This window comes from Homo sapiens, chromosome 7 (assembly GCF_000001405.40).
Source record: "Homo sapiens chromosome 7, GRCh38.p14 Primary Assembly".
Taxonomy (NCBI): Eukaryota; Metazoa; Chordata; class Mammalia; order Primates; family Hominidae; genus Homo; species Homo sapiens.
In genome coordinates this window covers 6,178,623-6,193,532 of record NC_000007.14, presented here as the reverse complement: position 1 = coordinate 6,193,532, position 14,910 = coordinate 6,178,623, and the positions used below count along the sequence as shown (strand labels likewise).

Genomic DNA, 14,910 nt, shown 5'->3' with positions numbered 1-14,910 from the left:
TCAGCTGTGGCTAGTCCAGTTTGGCTTCAAGCTCATAAAAATGTGGCGGTTCTTTCTGTTTCCATTCTCTTTGTTGTGACAGGTTTTGAGTTTTTTAAATTGCTAATTATGATTACTACAGTTTTAGTGGATGTCTCCTTTTTTTTTTTTTTTTTGAGACGGGAGTCTTGCTCTGTCGCCCAGGCTAGAGTGCAGTGGCACGATCTTGGCTCAGTGCAACCTAATGGAGGTCTCTTGTTGGGATTTTAATTTGTATTTCCTTGACTATTAAGAGAGTTGACATCCTTTTATCAGCCCATTCATATTAATTTTTTGGTCTTGTGCCTATGCAAGTCATTTGCCCAATTTCCTTTTTTCTTTTGAGACGGACTCTCGCTCTGTCACCCAGGCTAGAGTGCAGTGGTGGGATCTCGGCTCACTGCAACCTTTGCTTTCCTGTTTCAAGCGATTCTCCTGCCTCAGCCTCCCCAGTAACTGGGATTACAGGCGCCCACCACTACACCCAGCTAATTTTTTGTATTTTTAGTAGAGACGGGGTTTCACTATGTTGGCCAGACTGGTCCAGAACTCCTGACCTCAGGTGATCCACCTGTCTCTGCCTCCCAAAGTGCTGGGCTTACAGGCATGAGCCACTGTGTCTGGCCCCATTTGCCCATTTTCTAAGCACGGAGTTGTTATGTCTTTTAAAAATTGACTTGTGGGCCAGGTGTGGTGGCTCAGGCCTGTAATCTCAGCATTTTGGGAGGCCAAGACGGGTGGATCACTTGAGGTCAGGAGTTCAAGACCAGCCTGGCCAACATGGTGAAACCCCGTCTCTACTAAAAATACAAAAAATTAGCCGAGCGTGGTGGTGCACGCCTATAATCCCAGCTACTCGGGAGGCTGAGGCAGGAGAATCACTTGAACTCAGGAGGTGGAGGTTGCAGTGAGCTGAGATCGTGCCACCGCACTCCAGCCTGGCGACAGAGCGAGACTCTGTCTCAAAAAAAAAAAAAAAAAAAAATTGACTTGTGGCTGGGCACAGTGGCTCACATCTGTAATCCCTGTGCTTTAGGAGGCCAAGGTAGGAGTTTTGCTTCAGGCCAGGTGTTCAAGGCCAGCCTGGGCAACATAGCAAGACCCTGTCTTTAAATTTAAAAAAAAAAAAATTAGCCAGACATGGTGGCGCATGTCTGTAATCCTAGCTACTTGGGAGGCTGAGGTGGGAGGATTGCTTGAGCCCAGGAGTTCAAGGCTACAGTGAGCCATTGCAGCATTTCACTGCAGTGAGATCCTGGCCAGCAGAGTGAGATCCTGTCTCTACAAAAAACAATAATATAATTTGTAGGAGTTACATATTTTGAATCCGAATTCTTTGGCAGTTTCTGGCTCAGCTCTTCTTCACTCTGTGGTGTGGAACTTTTGGAGAATAAAGTTTTTATTTATTAATTTTTTTTTGAGACACAGATTCTGTGTTGCCCAGACTGGAGTGCAGTGGCACAGTCAGCCTCACAGTCATGATCATAGCTCACTGCAGCCTCAAACTCCTGGGCTGAAGTGATCCTCCCACCTCAGGCTCCCAAAGTGACTGGGCCCACAGGCATGCACCACCATGCCTGGCTATTTTTCATTTTCTTTAGTTCAGATGGGGGTCCCACTGTATTGCCCAGGCTGGTCTCGAACTCCTGGCCTCAAGTGATCCTCCCACCTTGGCCTCCCAAAGTGCTTGGATACAGGCATGAGCCACCTTGCCTGGCCTAGTTTCTTAACTTTGATATAATTAAATGTATTAATATTTTCCTTTGTGATTTATATTTTGTCTATCTTGTTTAAGAAGTCCTTCCCTGGCTGAGTGCAGTGAACCCAGGAGACGGAGGATGCAGTGAGACAAGATTGTGCCACTGCACTCCAGCCAGGGTGACAGAGTCAGATTCTGTCTCAAAAAAAAAAAAAAAAAAAAAAGTCCTTCCCTACCCTGAAATTATAAAAAAAATTCTCCTGTATTTACTTCTAAAAATTGTGTAGCGTTTCCCCTTCACATTTATACTTTTAATCCACTTGTAATTGATTGAAAATATGTGTGATTGATAACATACAATCTGCTTTTATTTTTTCCATATAAATAACTGTTTTCACACATATTTATTGAAGAGTCCAGTCTGTTTTTGAGCTGAGTGTCAGCTCTGCTGTGAATCATATTTTCGTCGGCCTGTGGTCTTTTCCTGGGCGCTGTCTATGTTGATTTATTTATTTATTTATTTTAATTTTTGTAGAGAAAGGATCTCACCATCTTGCTCAGGCTGGTCTTGAACTCCTGGGCTCAAGCGATCCTCCTGCCTCAGTGTCCCAAAGTGCTGGGATTAGAGACGTGAGCCACCGTGCCTGAATTTAGCCTTCTTTCATAGTCATCATTTTATTTGTGAGACTCATCCATATTGATAGACTTAGCTCATTCTTTTTAATTTTTTTTTTTTCCCGAAACAGAATCTCCCTCTGTTGCCCAGGCTGGAGTGCAGTGATGTGATTTTGCCTCACTGCAGCCTCCGCCTCCTGGGTTCAAGCAGTTCTCCTGCCTCAGCCTCCCGAGTAGCTGAGATTACAGGCATGCGTCACCACACCCAGCTGATTTTTGTATTTTTAATAGAGATGGGGTTTCACCGTGTTGGCCAGGCTGGTCTCAAACTCCTGACCTCAAGTGATCCACCCACCTCAGCCTCCTAAAGTGCTGGGATTACAGGCATGAGCCACCGTGCCTGGCCTGAAAAAATATTTTTGTTGGATGGGATTCTATTTTATGAATGTACCGCAATTTATTCGTGTTCTTACTGATGAATATTTAGGCTGTTTTCTGGTTATAAAGAGCGCTCCTATGAGTGTCTCAGATACAGTCTCAATGGGAGCATTTCTTTAGGATAAATACCTGCGTATGGAATTGCTGGGTGGCAGCATGTACCCACCTCAACCTTGCTGGATGTTGCCAATGTGTTCTCCAAAGTAGTTAATTATTTTTTTCTTCTTTCAGTGCCTGAAGACCTCTCATTAGAAGAGAGAGAAGAACTTCTAGACATTCGTCGAAGAAAAAAGGAACTTATTGATGACATTGAGGTAAAAAAAAAAAAAAAAAACCAAAAATCCAAAACTCTGTTTTTTGCTTTTGAGTAAAATAGTAAAAGAGTAGCCTCACAAAAATGTAAAAAAAAAAAAAAACCCAAAAACAAAAAATAACAAAAAAAAAAGATGTTTAGTGTGTGCATATAAGAACTACACAAAGAGACAGAGTGAAAAGTTATCAAGTTGGGAAAGCAAAGACTCCACACAGGCAGTGAGACCCCGGGTAGAAATCAAGACATCGTAGAACTGAGGTCAGCAGTAGCCAGCTCGCAAACCCAGGGCCACAGGCAGCGTATCATCTAAAGCAGCAGCAAGCCACGAGCGCATTGCTCTGTCAAATTGTGCACTGAGACCCTCTTTCGTTAACTAATATGTTTTTTTGTTTGTTTTTTTCTTTTTGCTTTTTTGAGACAGAGTCTCGCTCTGTTGCCCAGGCTGGAGTGCAGTGGCACAATCTGGGCTCACTGCATCCTTTGCCTCCTGGGTTCACGCCATTCTCCTGCCTCAGTCTCCTGAGTATCTGAGATTACAGGCACCCACCACCACACCCAGCTAATTTTTTGTATTTTTAGTAGAGACAGGGTTTCACTGTGTTAGGCAGATTGGTCTTGATCTCCTGACCTCGTGATCCGCTCACCTCAGCCTCCCAAAGTGCTGGGATCACAGACGTGAGCCACTGCGCCCAGCCACCAATATGTTAATGTTCTAGCACCTAGAACATTGCCTGTTCCATTTTTGGCTCTCAGATGCCCTTTGAGTGAATATGTGGGCATGTATTGGGTTCCAGCTGTGTACCAAGTGCCTACCAGGTGGTAGGAGTAGGATGACACATTAGGCCGGGCACAGCGGCTCACACCTGTTATCCCAGCACTTTGGGAGGCCAAGGCAGGAGGATCTCTTGAGCCCAGGAGTTCAAGACCAGCCTGGGCAACATGGTCAAACCCCATCTCTACAAAAAATGCACGCCACCATGCCCAGCTAAGTTTTGTACCTGTAGTCCCAGATACTCGGGAGGCTGAGGTGGGAGGATCACCTGAGCCCAAGAAGCTGAGGCTACAGTGAACTGTGATTGTGCCAGTGTACTGCGGACTGGGCAACAGAGCAAGACCCTGTCTAAAAAAAAGAAAAAGTAAAGACAAATAAAAACACAGGCACACAAACATGGGCTCTTCCACACTTGTGTACTTTACTCAGAGGATGGGGTAGAGGGCGGTCCCACAGGAGAAGCATGTGAATAAAGCCACCGTCTCGGCGTGGGAGAGCCTGTGATTGTTACAGAAGTGATTCAGAGGGCCGGCCCTGGCTCCTTCCGTTTGGGGCTTCCTTGGGAAAGTCAATCAGACATGGAGGTCTTCTTTGAGAAGCTTTCTAGTCATTGTCATTGCCAAAATAAATGTGGCTTCACAGGCCACGGCAAGGACAGGCCTTGTCCCAGACAATAGCTCCTTTCTAGGAGTTTGCGTTTTAAGTCCGAGTGTCTTGGCATATAATAGGGTCCTGAATAAAAATGTCTTTGTATTTGAAAGGTAATTCATGGAAATTTTTCTTCTAAGGTTACCCTTCATTCTTGGGAAAATCAGATAACCCAGAATTGGTCTCTGGTTGAAGAATAAGGATGTATATTATTTGGACCTTAGTAATCAGCCTGCTGGATAAATGTGGAATCGTAATCTAGCTCTAACTACTTCATTTTATCAGTGAGCACACTGAGGCCCAGGGAAGTTGGAGGCTTCCAGAGGTCAGTCTCATTAGTAGGGGTCACATCAAGGGAAAGGGGGTCTGTCCCCTTGGATGCATTTGGCTTCTCTGAGTGCCCTGAGTCAGTTCTGTTCACCCCCGGGCTCTGTCCATGGTGCTTCATCTCATTCAAGGTGATACAAGTGATCCTGAGACCACTGACCTAAACACACCTGAGCTTCAGCCTGAGACCACCGATCTAAACACACCCGAGCCTCAGCTTCTCCCTGGGAACACAGGCAGTGTTGAAGGAGGAGGCAGGTGACAACTGTTTGCATGGCAGGGCTGAATAGTGCAGTTAAGCGAACTGAGGACTCATGGCTTTCCTTTTGCTGGGCTTTTTTTTTTTGTTTTTTTGTTTTTTTTAAAAAAAGAGACCAAGTCTTGCTCTGTCACCCAGACTGGAGTACAGTGGTGTGATCATGGCTCACTGCAGCCTCAAACTCGTGGGTTCATGCAGTCCTCCCTCCTCAGCCTCTCTAGTAGCTAGGACTACAGGCATGTACCACCACACTCAGCTAATTTTTCTGTTTTTCTTTTTTGTAGCAATGAGGCCTTGCTACATTGCCCAGGCTGTTCTCAAACTCCTGATCTCAAGCGATCCCTCTGCTTCAACCTCCCAAAATGCTGGGATTACAGGCATGAGCCACTGCTCCTGGCTTGGTTTTATCTTTTCACAGCTGTGATATTCCCCCCCCAGTGTGCTTGCCTGATTTTATATACAAATACCCTAGGATCTGCAGAGTGGACCCCTCTGAACCTGGTATCTGATGAAAAGTGAGCAAAGAATTTTGTGTTCTCCTAAGTTGTGGTGGCTTTGACTATGAAGCTCTAGCTGTATTGATAATAGTATTGGTTTTTCCATCCCTGTGATGCTCCGGTGAGACCGCAGGGAAGCTTGTCACAAGAGAACTAAAATTTCTGAGTCTCAGGGGAGGAAGGTTAAGACCCACTCCCCACCTCGAAATTCTTCTTTTTTGACAGAGGCTGAAATATGAAATTGCAGAGGTGATGACAGAGATCGACAATCTAACTTCCGTAGAGGAGAGGTAACAATTTGTGGCTACACCTTTAAGCTATTTACTCTTTTCTTTCTACCTCCATCCTGTAGTCAAACTTGCAGAAAGTGGGGTGAGAGTGGTTGGGATGTGGGGAGCCTGTGGAGTTGTTAATTCCTCTCCTCTCCCCCTACTCTGCGTGGAGGGGTCCAGGGGTGTTTCCCTGGATGTTACCTCCCATTGCCTCCTCTGTAAGTCATCATCTGCCTTTATAGGTTCAGGCATAAGCACAGGCACTTCAGGGTTGACCCGCACAGAAATTACCTGCCTGCGTCATAAGGAACTGTGCTTTATTAAAATCACTGGTTTGCATCATTAGCTTTTTCTGAAGTGTCTCAAGTTATCAAATGTGAACAGCAATGGTGGCTGCACCACCCCTGCCGCCACTGCGGAGACTGGGGGCCCCTCCGTGAGGGCCTGTGCTTCGCTTCCTTGAGCCCGTTGTTGCGGGGGAAAGTACACTGGAGGGCCGTGACTGGGCTGCATTGTGAAAACAGCATGAGTGATTTTTAAATTATTTCACACCAATAGCAAAACGACTCAGAGGAACAAACAGATAGCCATGGGAAGAAAGAAATTCAACATGGATCCCAAAAAGGTAAGAGAATGCTCTCCCTTTTCTGGCCTGCAGGAGATGGACTAATTGATTTGAACTGCCGTTTCCCTTTTGGACAGAGGTCAGAGGTGGTCCGCCCTGTCACCTCATAAAAGACTGGGAGTTGAAGGCACATTTTTATCAAAAAGGGGCTTTTCGCGAGTGGGGTGAAGCAGAAGTGCCTTGTAGGGCTGGTGCCCTGGGCAGAAAGGCCTTTCTTTCAGAGTGAGCTGCTGGGTGAGGAAGCAGCCTCACAGGCACGGCTTGGACGACTCAGCACAGGCCGGGCTTGGCTCCAGGCAGTGCCCTTGCTGTCGAGGCTCATATTCGCATCTTCCCGCTTGACCTGGGTCAGGGAATCACGTGACTAGGAAGGAGCAGGGGTGGGAGTGGAACCCTGGTGTCCAGAGGTTACGGACTTTATAATCTGGGTGGGTTAAGTGGTTCACATAAGAGGACTTTATTCCTCCATTCACCTTAAAAAGCAGGTGTCTGTGAAAAAACAAGGGATCCTCCACATTTAAGCCAGCATCTTTCTCTTTCCTCAAGTTGGATTTTCTAGGGAGACACTCGAAAACCGTGAAACCTGAAACATGTAGCTGCTTGTTTTTGAGACCGAGCTAAGGGATTTGGCAGAATCTGTGAAGCTTTTTGGGGGACATTTTGGTTTTGAGAAAGAAGGGTAGACCTGAGTCTTCAGGGTTGAGGAGAGGAACGGCGTGTCCACGGGAAGGTCTCGCTGCAGAGCTGGTTCACGCCACTCCTGTGGTCTTCAGTCGGTCTGCACTTTTTTTTTTTTTTTTTTTTTTGAGATAGAGTCTTGCTCTGTCACCCAGGCTGGAGTGCAGTGGCACGATCTTGGCTCACTGCAAGCTCCGCCTCCCGGGTTCACGCCATTCTCCTGCCTCAGCCTCCCGGGTAGCTGAGACTACAGGCGCCCGCCACCACGCCCGGCTAATTTTTTGTATTTTTAGTAGAGATGGGGTTTCACTGTGTTAGCCAGGATGGTCTTGATCTCCTGACCTCATGATCCGCCCGCCTCGGCCTCCCAAAGTGCTGGGATTATGTGCGTGAGCCACCGTGCCTGGCCCAGTCGGTCTGTACTTCTAACGTTCCCCTTGCTTTTCTGGCATTGAGCCTCTGTGCTAATGAGTTAATTATTTGTTCCTTCGATAAATATCTGATTGCAGAATTCCATTGTACAAGGTCTAAGATCTGTAAACTCACATAAGTGCAGGTGCAGTTGCAGGTGATATTTACAGAAGTGCATGTCGTTATTTCCTGCTCACGGTTTGCAGGTCTGGGACTGCAGGTATGCGCCACTGCACCCAGATAATTTTTTTTTTTTTTTTTGAGACAGAGTCTAACTCTGTTGCCCAGGCTGGAGTGCAGTGGTGCGATCTCGGCCCACCGCAAGCTCCACCTCCCGGGTTCACACCATTCTCCTGCCTCAGCCTCCCGAGTAGCTGGGACTACAGGTGCCTGCCACCATGCCCGGCTAATTTTTTGTATTTTTTTTTAGTAGAGACGGGGTTTCACTGTGTTAGCTAGGATGGTCTCGATCTCCTGACCTTGTGATCTGCCCACCTTGGCCTCCCAAAGTGCTGGGATTACAGGCGTGAGCCCAGTGCACCCGGCCCAGTTTCACCACGTTGGCCAGGCTGGTCTCGAACTCCTGACCTCAGGTGATCTGCCCACCTCAGCCTCCCAAAAGTGCTGGGATTACAGGCATGAGCCACTGCGCCAGGCCATGTCTGGATTTTCTTAAGGCCCAGCACATCTGCACCCAGAGGAGGGTTTTTGTTTAATGCATACACTCTAGCCACTGTGAAAACTTTCCTGTTGCTTTCTGGTTCTCTGCTTATGGGGCATAAATCATCTCCAAGATGGAATGAAAATTGTCAATTTTGTGAATTTGGAAATGATTTGATATTTTGGGTAACAGCTTTTCTTTAAGGAGTTGGAACTGTGGAGTTAGATTTATCAGCAGATGTAATAAGCATTGGAAGCATCTCAGGTTCTTTATGAAAGTGGATGTGCTCAGAACTGGGTCTTATGTTTTAAGGGGACCCAAGTAGTGCAGCACAGGGCAGCACACCAGTAAGTTCATGGATAAATTCTAATCTCATGAAATACATACAAATAAATACTTATTTTTTAAAGGGATGCTACTGAGTCCTGGTGCGGTGGCTTACGCGTATAATCCCAGCACTTTAGGAGGCCCAGTTGGGCAGATCACCTGAGGTCAGGAGTTTGAGACCAGCCTGGCCAACATGGTGAAACTCCATCTCTACTAAAAATACAAAATTAGCTGGGCGTGGTGGTGGGTGCCTGTAGTCCCAGCTACTCGGGAGGCTGAGGCGCGAGAATCGCTTGAACCTGGGAGTCAGGTTGCAGTGAGCTGAGATTGCATCACTGCACTCCAGTCTGGGCGACAAGAGTAAGAGGCTGTCTCTCAAAATAAGTAAATAAATAAAGTGATGCCACTACTGTGCATCAGGTTTCAGCTTCATGAGCGTAAACTTTTCTTCATGCCTATGAAGCCCTCTCTGTCAGGCTCTTGACTGTCTTCCTGTTTTATATATACCGTGTGTCAGATTTATAATAAGGGCCAACAAAACTACAAGTTTTGTAGACTTGAATATAGCACTTGTCAGTCCACTTGAGCCTTCCTAACACAATACCACAGAGGGGGCCAGGCGCGGTGGCTCACGCCTGTAATCCCAGCACTTTGGGAGGCTGAGGCGGGTGGATCATGAGGTCAGGAGATTGAGACCATCCTGGCTAACACAGTGAAACCCCGTTTCTACTGAAAATACAAAAAATTAGCCGGGTGTGGTGACGGGCGCCTGTAGTCCCAGCTACTCGGGAGGCTGAGGCAGGAGAATGGCGTGAACCCGGGAGGTGGAGCTTGCAGTAAGCCGAGATTCCGCCCCTGCACTCCAGCCTGGGCGACAGAGCGAGACTCTATCTCAAAAAAAAAAAAAAAAAAAAAAAAAAAAAGCCACAGAGGGGGTGCGTAAACAATGGAAATGTATTTTCTTACAGTTCTGGAGGCTGGAAGTCCGAGATGAGGGTGCCAGCATGATTGGTGTCTGGTGAGGGCTCTCTTCCTGGCTTGCTAGTAGCCGCCTTCTTGCTGTATCCTCACATGCTGGGGAGTAAGGAGAACTTACTCACTCTAGGGTGATGTTCTTATAAGGGCACAAATCCCATGAGGCCAGGACCTCATGTAACACTGATTACCTCCAAAAGACCCCGTCTCCAGATAGCATCACAGTGGGGGTTTGGGCTTCAACATATGAATTGTGGGGGGGACACGGACATTTCGTTCACAGCTGCAAAGGATGATCTCACATGCTTCAGACACAACTCAAAATTATATCTACCTCCCCATGCCCCTATTAAACCTGTAACACTATGAAGCATGAAGACATTGTCAGAGCAAATAAATTCCTTCCAGCTAGGATGGTGTTTTCTAAGTCTCAGAGTGATGACACTTTAAACAGGGAGCTTTGGTTTGTTGAGGTGCATTATTTCTAGAAGTAGTACTTGAGTTCATTAATGAGTAAGAGGGAAGGTTTGATTAGATCAAGGAAGCTGAAAACACTCTGCAGCCTCTCCTTTATTCCTGATTTCCTAGAAATGCCTTAAATAAAATATATAAATCTATATGACAAGCAGGGGTCCACTCAGTGGACTAGAAATTGAGGAATCCCTGGAAGAAGATAAATGGGATCAGCTGGAGAAGGAAACACTCCCCACAGCACATACAAGAAAGAACTGCCGGGGGCGGCAAGAGCAGCTTCAGAGTTCCCCGAGTGCAGAGGAGGTACATTCAGGGAACAGGACTGTGGGAGGGACGTCGAGACTGGTCACGCTCTCCTGACCTTGTGTCTAGCAGTGATTGTGTCTCCAGGTGGGAAAAGCAAGAGGGAGCACTTAGTCCGTGAAAACAGGCAGCGTCCTCGGTGGGTGGCAGCACCAACAAGGAGAAATACCCACTCCCAGAGACCAGCCGTTGGCTGCCTGACCTGCTCCTCTTCCAGATCACTGGAGGCAGCTGCAGCAAAAACCAGAAGCAAGTAGCATTCTGTTAGGCCAACAGTGACCCTAAAATACAAAGACAAACACCCACCAAGCACCACCAAGCGTTTGAGGAAACCAGCACCATGAAAGAGACATGAAACCCAACAAACAGAAGAACTAAGGCTGGAGGAAACAGACTTAATGGAAACAATAGAGGCGGGGAGGGCGGCTCATGCCTATAATCCTGACGTCTTAGAAGGTCTAGGTGGGAGGATCACTTGAGCTCAGGAGTTCAAAACCAGCCTAACATAGTGAGACCCTCATCTCTATAAACAGTTTTTTTAAAAAAATAAGCCAGGCATGGTGGTATGCACCTGTAGTCCCAGCTACTTGAGAGGCTAAGGTGGGAGGATCACTTGAGCCCAGGAGTTTGAGGCTACAATGAAATGTGATTGCACCACTGCATTCTAGCCTGGGTGACAGTAAGACTTTGTCTCTTAAATCCTTTATCAAGCCAGATGTGGTGGCATGTGCCTGTAGTCCAACTACTGGGAGGCTAAGGCAGAAGGATTGCTTCAGCCCAGGAGTTTGAGGCTGCGGTGAGCTGTGATTACACCACTGCACTCTAGCCTGGGCAACAGAATGAGACCCTGTCTCTTAAAAAAGAAGCAGGAGGCTGGGTGCGGTGGCTCACGCCTGTAATCCGAGCACTTTGGGAGGCCGGGGTGGGTGGATTGCCTGAGGTTAGAAGTTCAAGAGCAGCTTGGCTAACATGGTGAAACCCCATCTCTACTAAAAATAGAAAAAAATTAGCTGGGTATGGTAGCAGGCACCTGTAATCTCAGCTACTCGGGAGGCTGAGGCAGGAGAATCACTTGAACCCAGGAGGTGGAGGTTGCAGTGAGCCTAGATTGCACTAATGCACTCCAGCCTGGGCGATAAGAGCAAAACTCTGTCTCAAAAAAAACAAAACAAAATAAAAACAGAAGAAGCAAAAAAACAATAGGAGGAAACTTTTTATAGTAGGATATTTGTGTATATTATAAATATCATCAAAGAGATACGATAGGATGTTTCTTATCCATGATATAAAAATGGGGGATTGTGAAAAAGAACCTTGGAAATGAAAACTAGGAGTGTGTGTCACATCATCACTTGAGCATATGGAGAAGACGTGGCTGAAGAGTGGACGTGTGCTAGAACAGAGTTTAAGAATTCTTTATTCAGTTTTGCAGAGACCTACAAGAAAACATGCACGGTGGGTCCAGCAGCCCAAATTTCATGTAATAGAAGTCACAGAAGGAGAGAATGGAAAGTGGAGGAGAGGAAATATTTCAAAGAAATCTTGGAATATTTTAGAACTAAGAAAAATCCTTAGATTCAAAGGCCCCACCAAATGCCAAGCAGGATAAAAATTGAAAAGACTTATACACATAGACGTGTCAAGTAAAATGTTGTAAAACTCATGGATAGAGGAATTCATTAAATTTCCCAGGAAGGAAAGATCAGATTACCTAAGAAGAAATGAGGAGCACAGCAAGCTTGTCAGGGATGCTGGATCAAAGACAGGAGGGGAGCAGTGCCTGCCAAGGCCTGAGGAAACATGATTTAAAACCCCAAATTCTGTCTGTCCTGTCACTCACAAGAGAAGGTGAGGAAACACATGTTCAGACACACAAGGGCTTCTCTGATGTCTAGGAATTGTGTAATTGGAGCGTGACACCTCAAAACAAGAAATGACTACATAGGATAAAAAAGGAAAGGCATGCAAAGAAACAAGCAAAACTTTGAATGTCAAAGTGAGAAATTTATTGTTTAAAAGATTTTTTTTAAGTCCAAATTTATGTCAGTATTTAAGTAGCAAGGGGGAAAGGAAGGAAGGAAGGAACAGCTAAGGTTTTCTAGATGTTGATAGATAAAAATAAGTTTAAATACTTGTCAAAATTTTAAGAGTAATCACTGAAGAGAAATAGGATTTTTAAATTATTAACAAACATTGAATAAAGAAAGTTTGATCCATTCAACACAAGGCTGGAAAGGCCTGTGAAATAGAAAGTACCAAATAAGGGGTCAGGAGTAAGTGCTAACTAATCAGTGCTCACCGTAGATTTGATTGGGCTAAAGTAATGACAAGACAGACACTTGGGTATTAATAAAATAATATAAAATAAAATCCAGCTTTGGATTGAGACCCACACCTAGAAGAGAAACAGAAAAAGATAGAGTAGGTGTAGTGGGTCAAATGGTGCCACCGCCCCCATTTCTGCTGTTTGACTTTTAAATGGTATTTTAAAATAGTAAACATTTCTAATAATGTTAGAACACTCACTTTCTTTTATGAGTATTTACCTAGTGTATTAGTATTCTAGGGCTGCCATGACAAATGACCAGCAACGGGGTGGTTTAAAACAAGAGAAATCTATTCTCGCTCAGTTCAGGAGGCCAGAAGTCCGAGATCGGGGTGTGGGCAGGATTGCTGCTTAGACTGAGGGAGAATCCCTTCCAGCCTCGCTCCTGGCGGCTGCCACCCTCCTGGTCTCCACAGCCGTGGGCACCTCACTGTGGTCTCTGCCTCCATTGTCTTGTGGCCTTCTCTGCACCTTCTCCTCTCTGTCTCATAGGACAAGTGTGATTGAACGCAGAGCTTCTGTGTCCTCCTCCTCTGCTTGTCTCTTTGTCACCTGCCAGATAGCATTCTCCAAGAAATGTCAGTGTTTTGTGTGTTCTGAATTTTAGGGCAGGCCTTGAGCATCCAGAGGAAGGCATGGGAGCCTCATGCCCAGGCCCATTCAGTTCCCTGGGCTTCAGCTGACAGTGGCAGGGGCCTTCACCATGCAGGGTCAGGCCCCCAGCCCTGTAGCCCCAGAGATGACAGGACAACTAGTGATCCCTCAGGGTGTCCTGTCTCTCCTCCCACCTGCAGCTGATGGCCTCACCTGGCTTCTCCACCGGCCTCACTTGTTTTCCTCACTTAGAGCCAATAGCAAAGCCCCAGCACTGTCTTTCCTGCCCTAGGCTCTGTTTTCAGGGAACTTGGGCTGCATTAGGCCTCTCGAAGGACCAGACCTGCATTGCTACTGTGTGTGTGTGTGTGTGTGTGTGGTTTGTGTGTGTGTGGTTGTGTGTGGGTGTGTGTGGTGTGTGTGGTGTGTGTGGGTGTGTGTGGTGTGTCTGTGGTGTGGTGTATGTGGTGTGCGTGTGTGGTGTGTGTGTGGTGTGTGTGGTGGGTGTGTGTGGTAGGTGGTGTGTGTGGGGTGTGTGTGGTGGGGGTGTGGGGTGTGTGTGGTGGGTGTGTGTGTGTGGTGTGTGGGGTGTGTGTGGGGTGTGTGTGTGGGGGGGTGTGTGTGGTGTGTGTGTGGGGTGTGTGTGGGGTGTGGGGTGTGTGAGGTGTATGTGGGGGGTGTGTGTGTGTGGTGTGTGGTGTGTGTGTGTGTGTCTGTCTTGTAATTTAGATGGTGCCCCTGTGGGTACCATCACCAGATACATATGAGAATTGATTTAGGATTGTTAGACTCACTGATTTTTCTGGAGAATAACATTAAAACATGGTGCACAAATTCTAAATGTACAGCTTGAAGAATCTTTATAAATTAATACACTCACATAACTGCAACCCAGAACAAGCCGCAGTTGTAGAATATTACAGGGCACCTTTCTGATGCCTCATCCTAGGGAATTCACTCCCCAGGGTAACCAGTCCTTAATCACCATAAGTTTTGCCTTTTTAAAACCTTCTGTGAATGGAACTGAAATACTCTTCCGTGTCGTCTTTTGCTCCATATCATGTCTGTGAGATTCATTCTTGTGAGTGTTCATTCCATTTCATGGCTGTAGAGTCTTCCATCATGTGATTATGCCAGAATGTACTGATCGGTTCTCTTACTGACTGTTTTCAGTTTTTGGAAATAAGGCTGCTGTGGACGTTCGTGTGTTTAAAAAAAATAGGAAATTTCTGGATGGACCGTGAGGGTATGAGGCAGCCCTGGTCTTGGGTACTGAGAGTCTTAGCTGGATAAAGCCTCTCTGAATTTGTAGAAATGGCCTCCTGGCAAATTGATTTCTGAATTCCCTATTCCCTTGCCACCCTTGCCAACACATATTTTGAAACTGGCTGCAAGGCTGTGTTAGAGGTAAACATTTCTATTAATAGGTTCCTGGGACTTCTCATGAGACAGTGCTCAGCTGATTCAGGCCAGGGGCAGCCCATTGCCTTTGAGATTGTCAGCTGTGCCGCAGCCCTCAGAGTGGGCATGAGCTTTGACTGGATGAGCTTGGTGGCACAGCATGTCAGTATGTTTTTGGCATCAGGTAATAGAAAATCCAACAAAATGTATCTTACACAGGGCGAGGTTTATCTTCTCACACAGCTGTGTAGCAGTAGGTGGCTCCCAAGTGGCAAGA

At 46.4% G+C, this 14,910-nt stretch overlaps 1 protein-coding gene across 3 annotated transcripts in view; it reads left to right on the top strand.

Moving 5' to 3' along the window:
• The window catches only part of CYTH3 (cytohesin 3), a 110,846-nt gene that overhangs the window by 79,092 nt on the left and 16,844 nt on the right, over nt 1-14,910 (top strand). For all 3 annotated transcript variants that reach the window (NM_004227.4, NM_001367580.1, NM_001367581.1), the window contains exons 2-4: nt 3,002-3,084; nt 5,812-5,876; nt 6,417-6,483. In NM_004227.4, coding sequence (NP_004218.1) covers nt 3,002-3,084; nt 5,812-5,876; nt 6,417-6,483 — 215 coding nt within the window. The remainder of the gene's footprint in view (nt 1-3,001; nt 3,085-5,811; nt 5,877-6,416; nt 6,484-14,910) is intronic.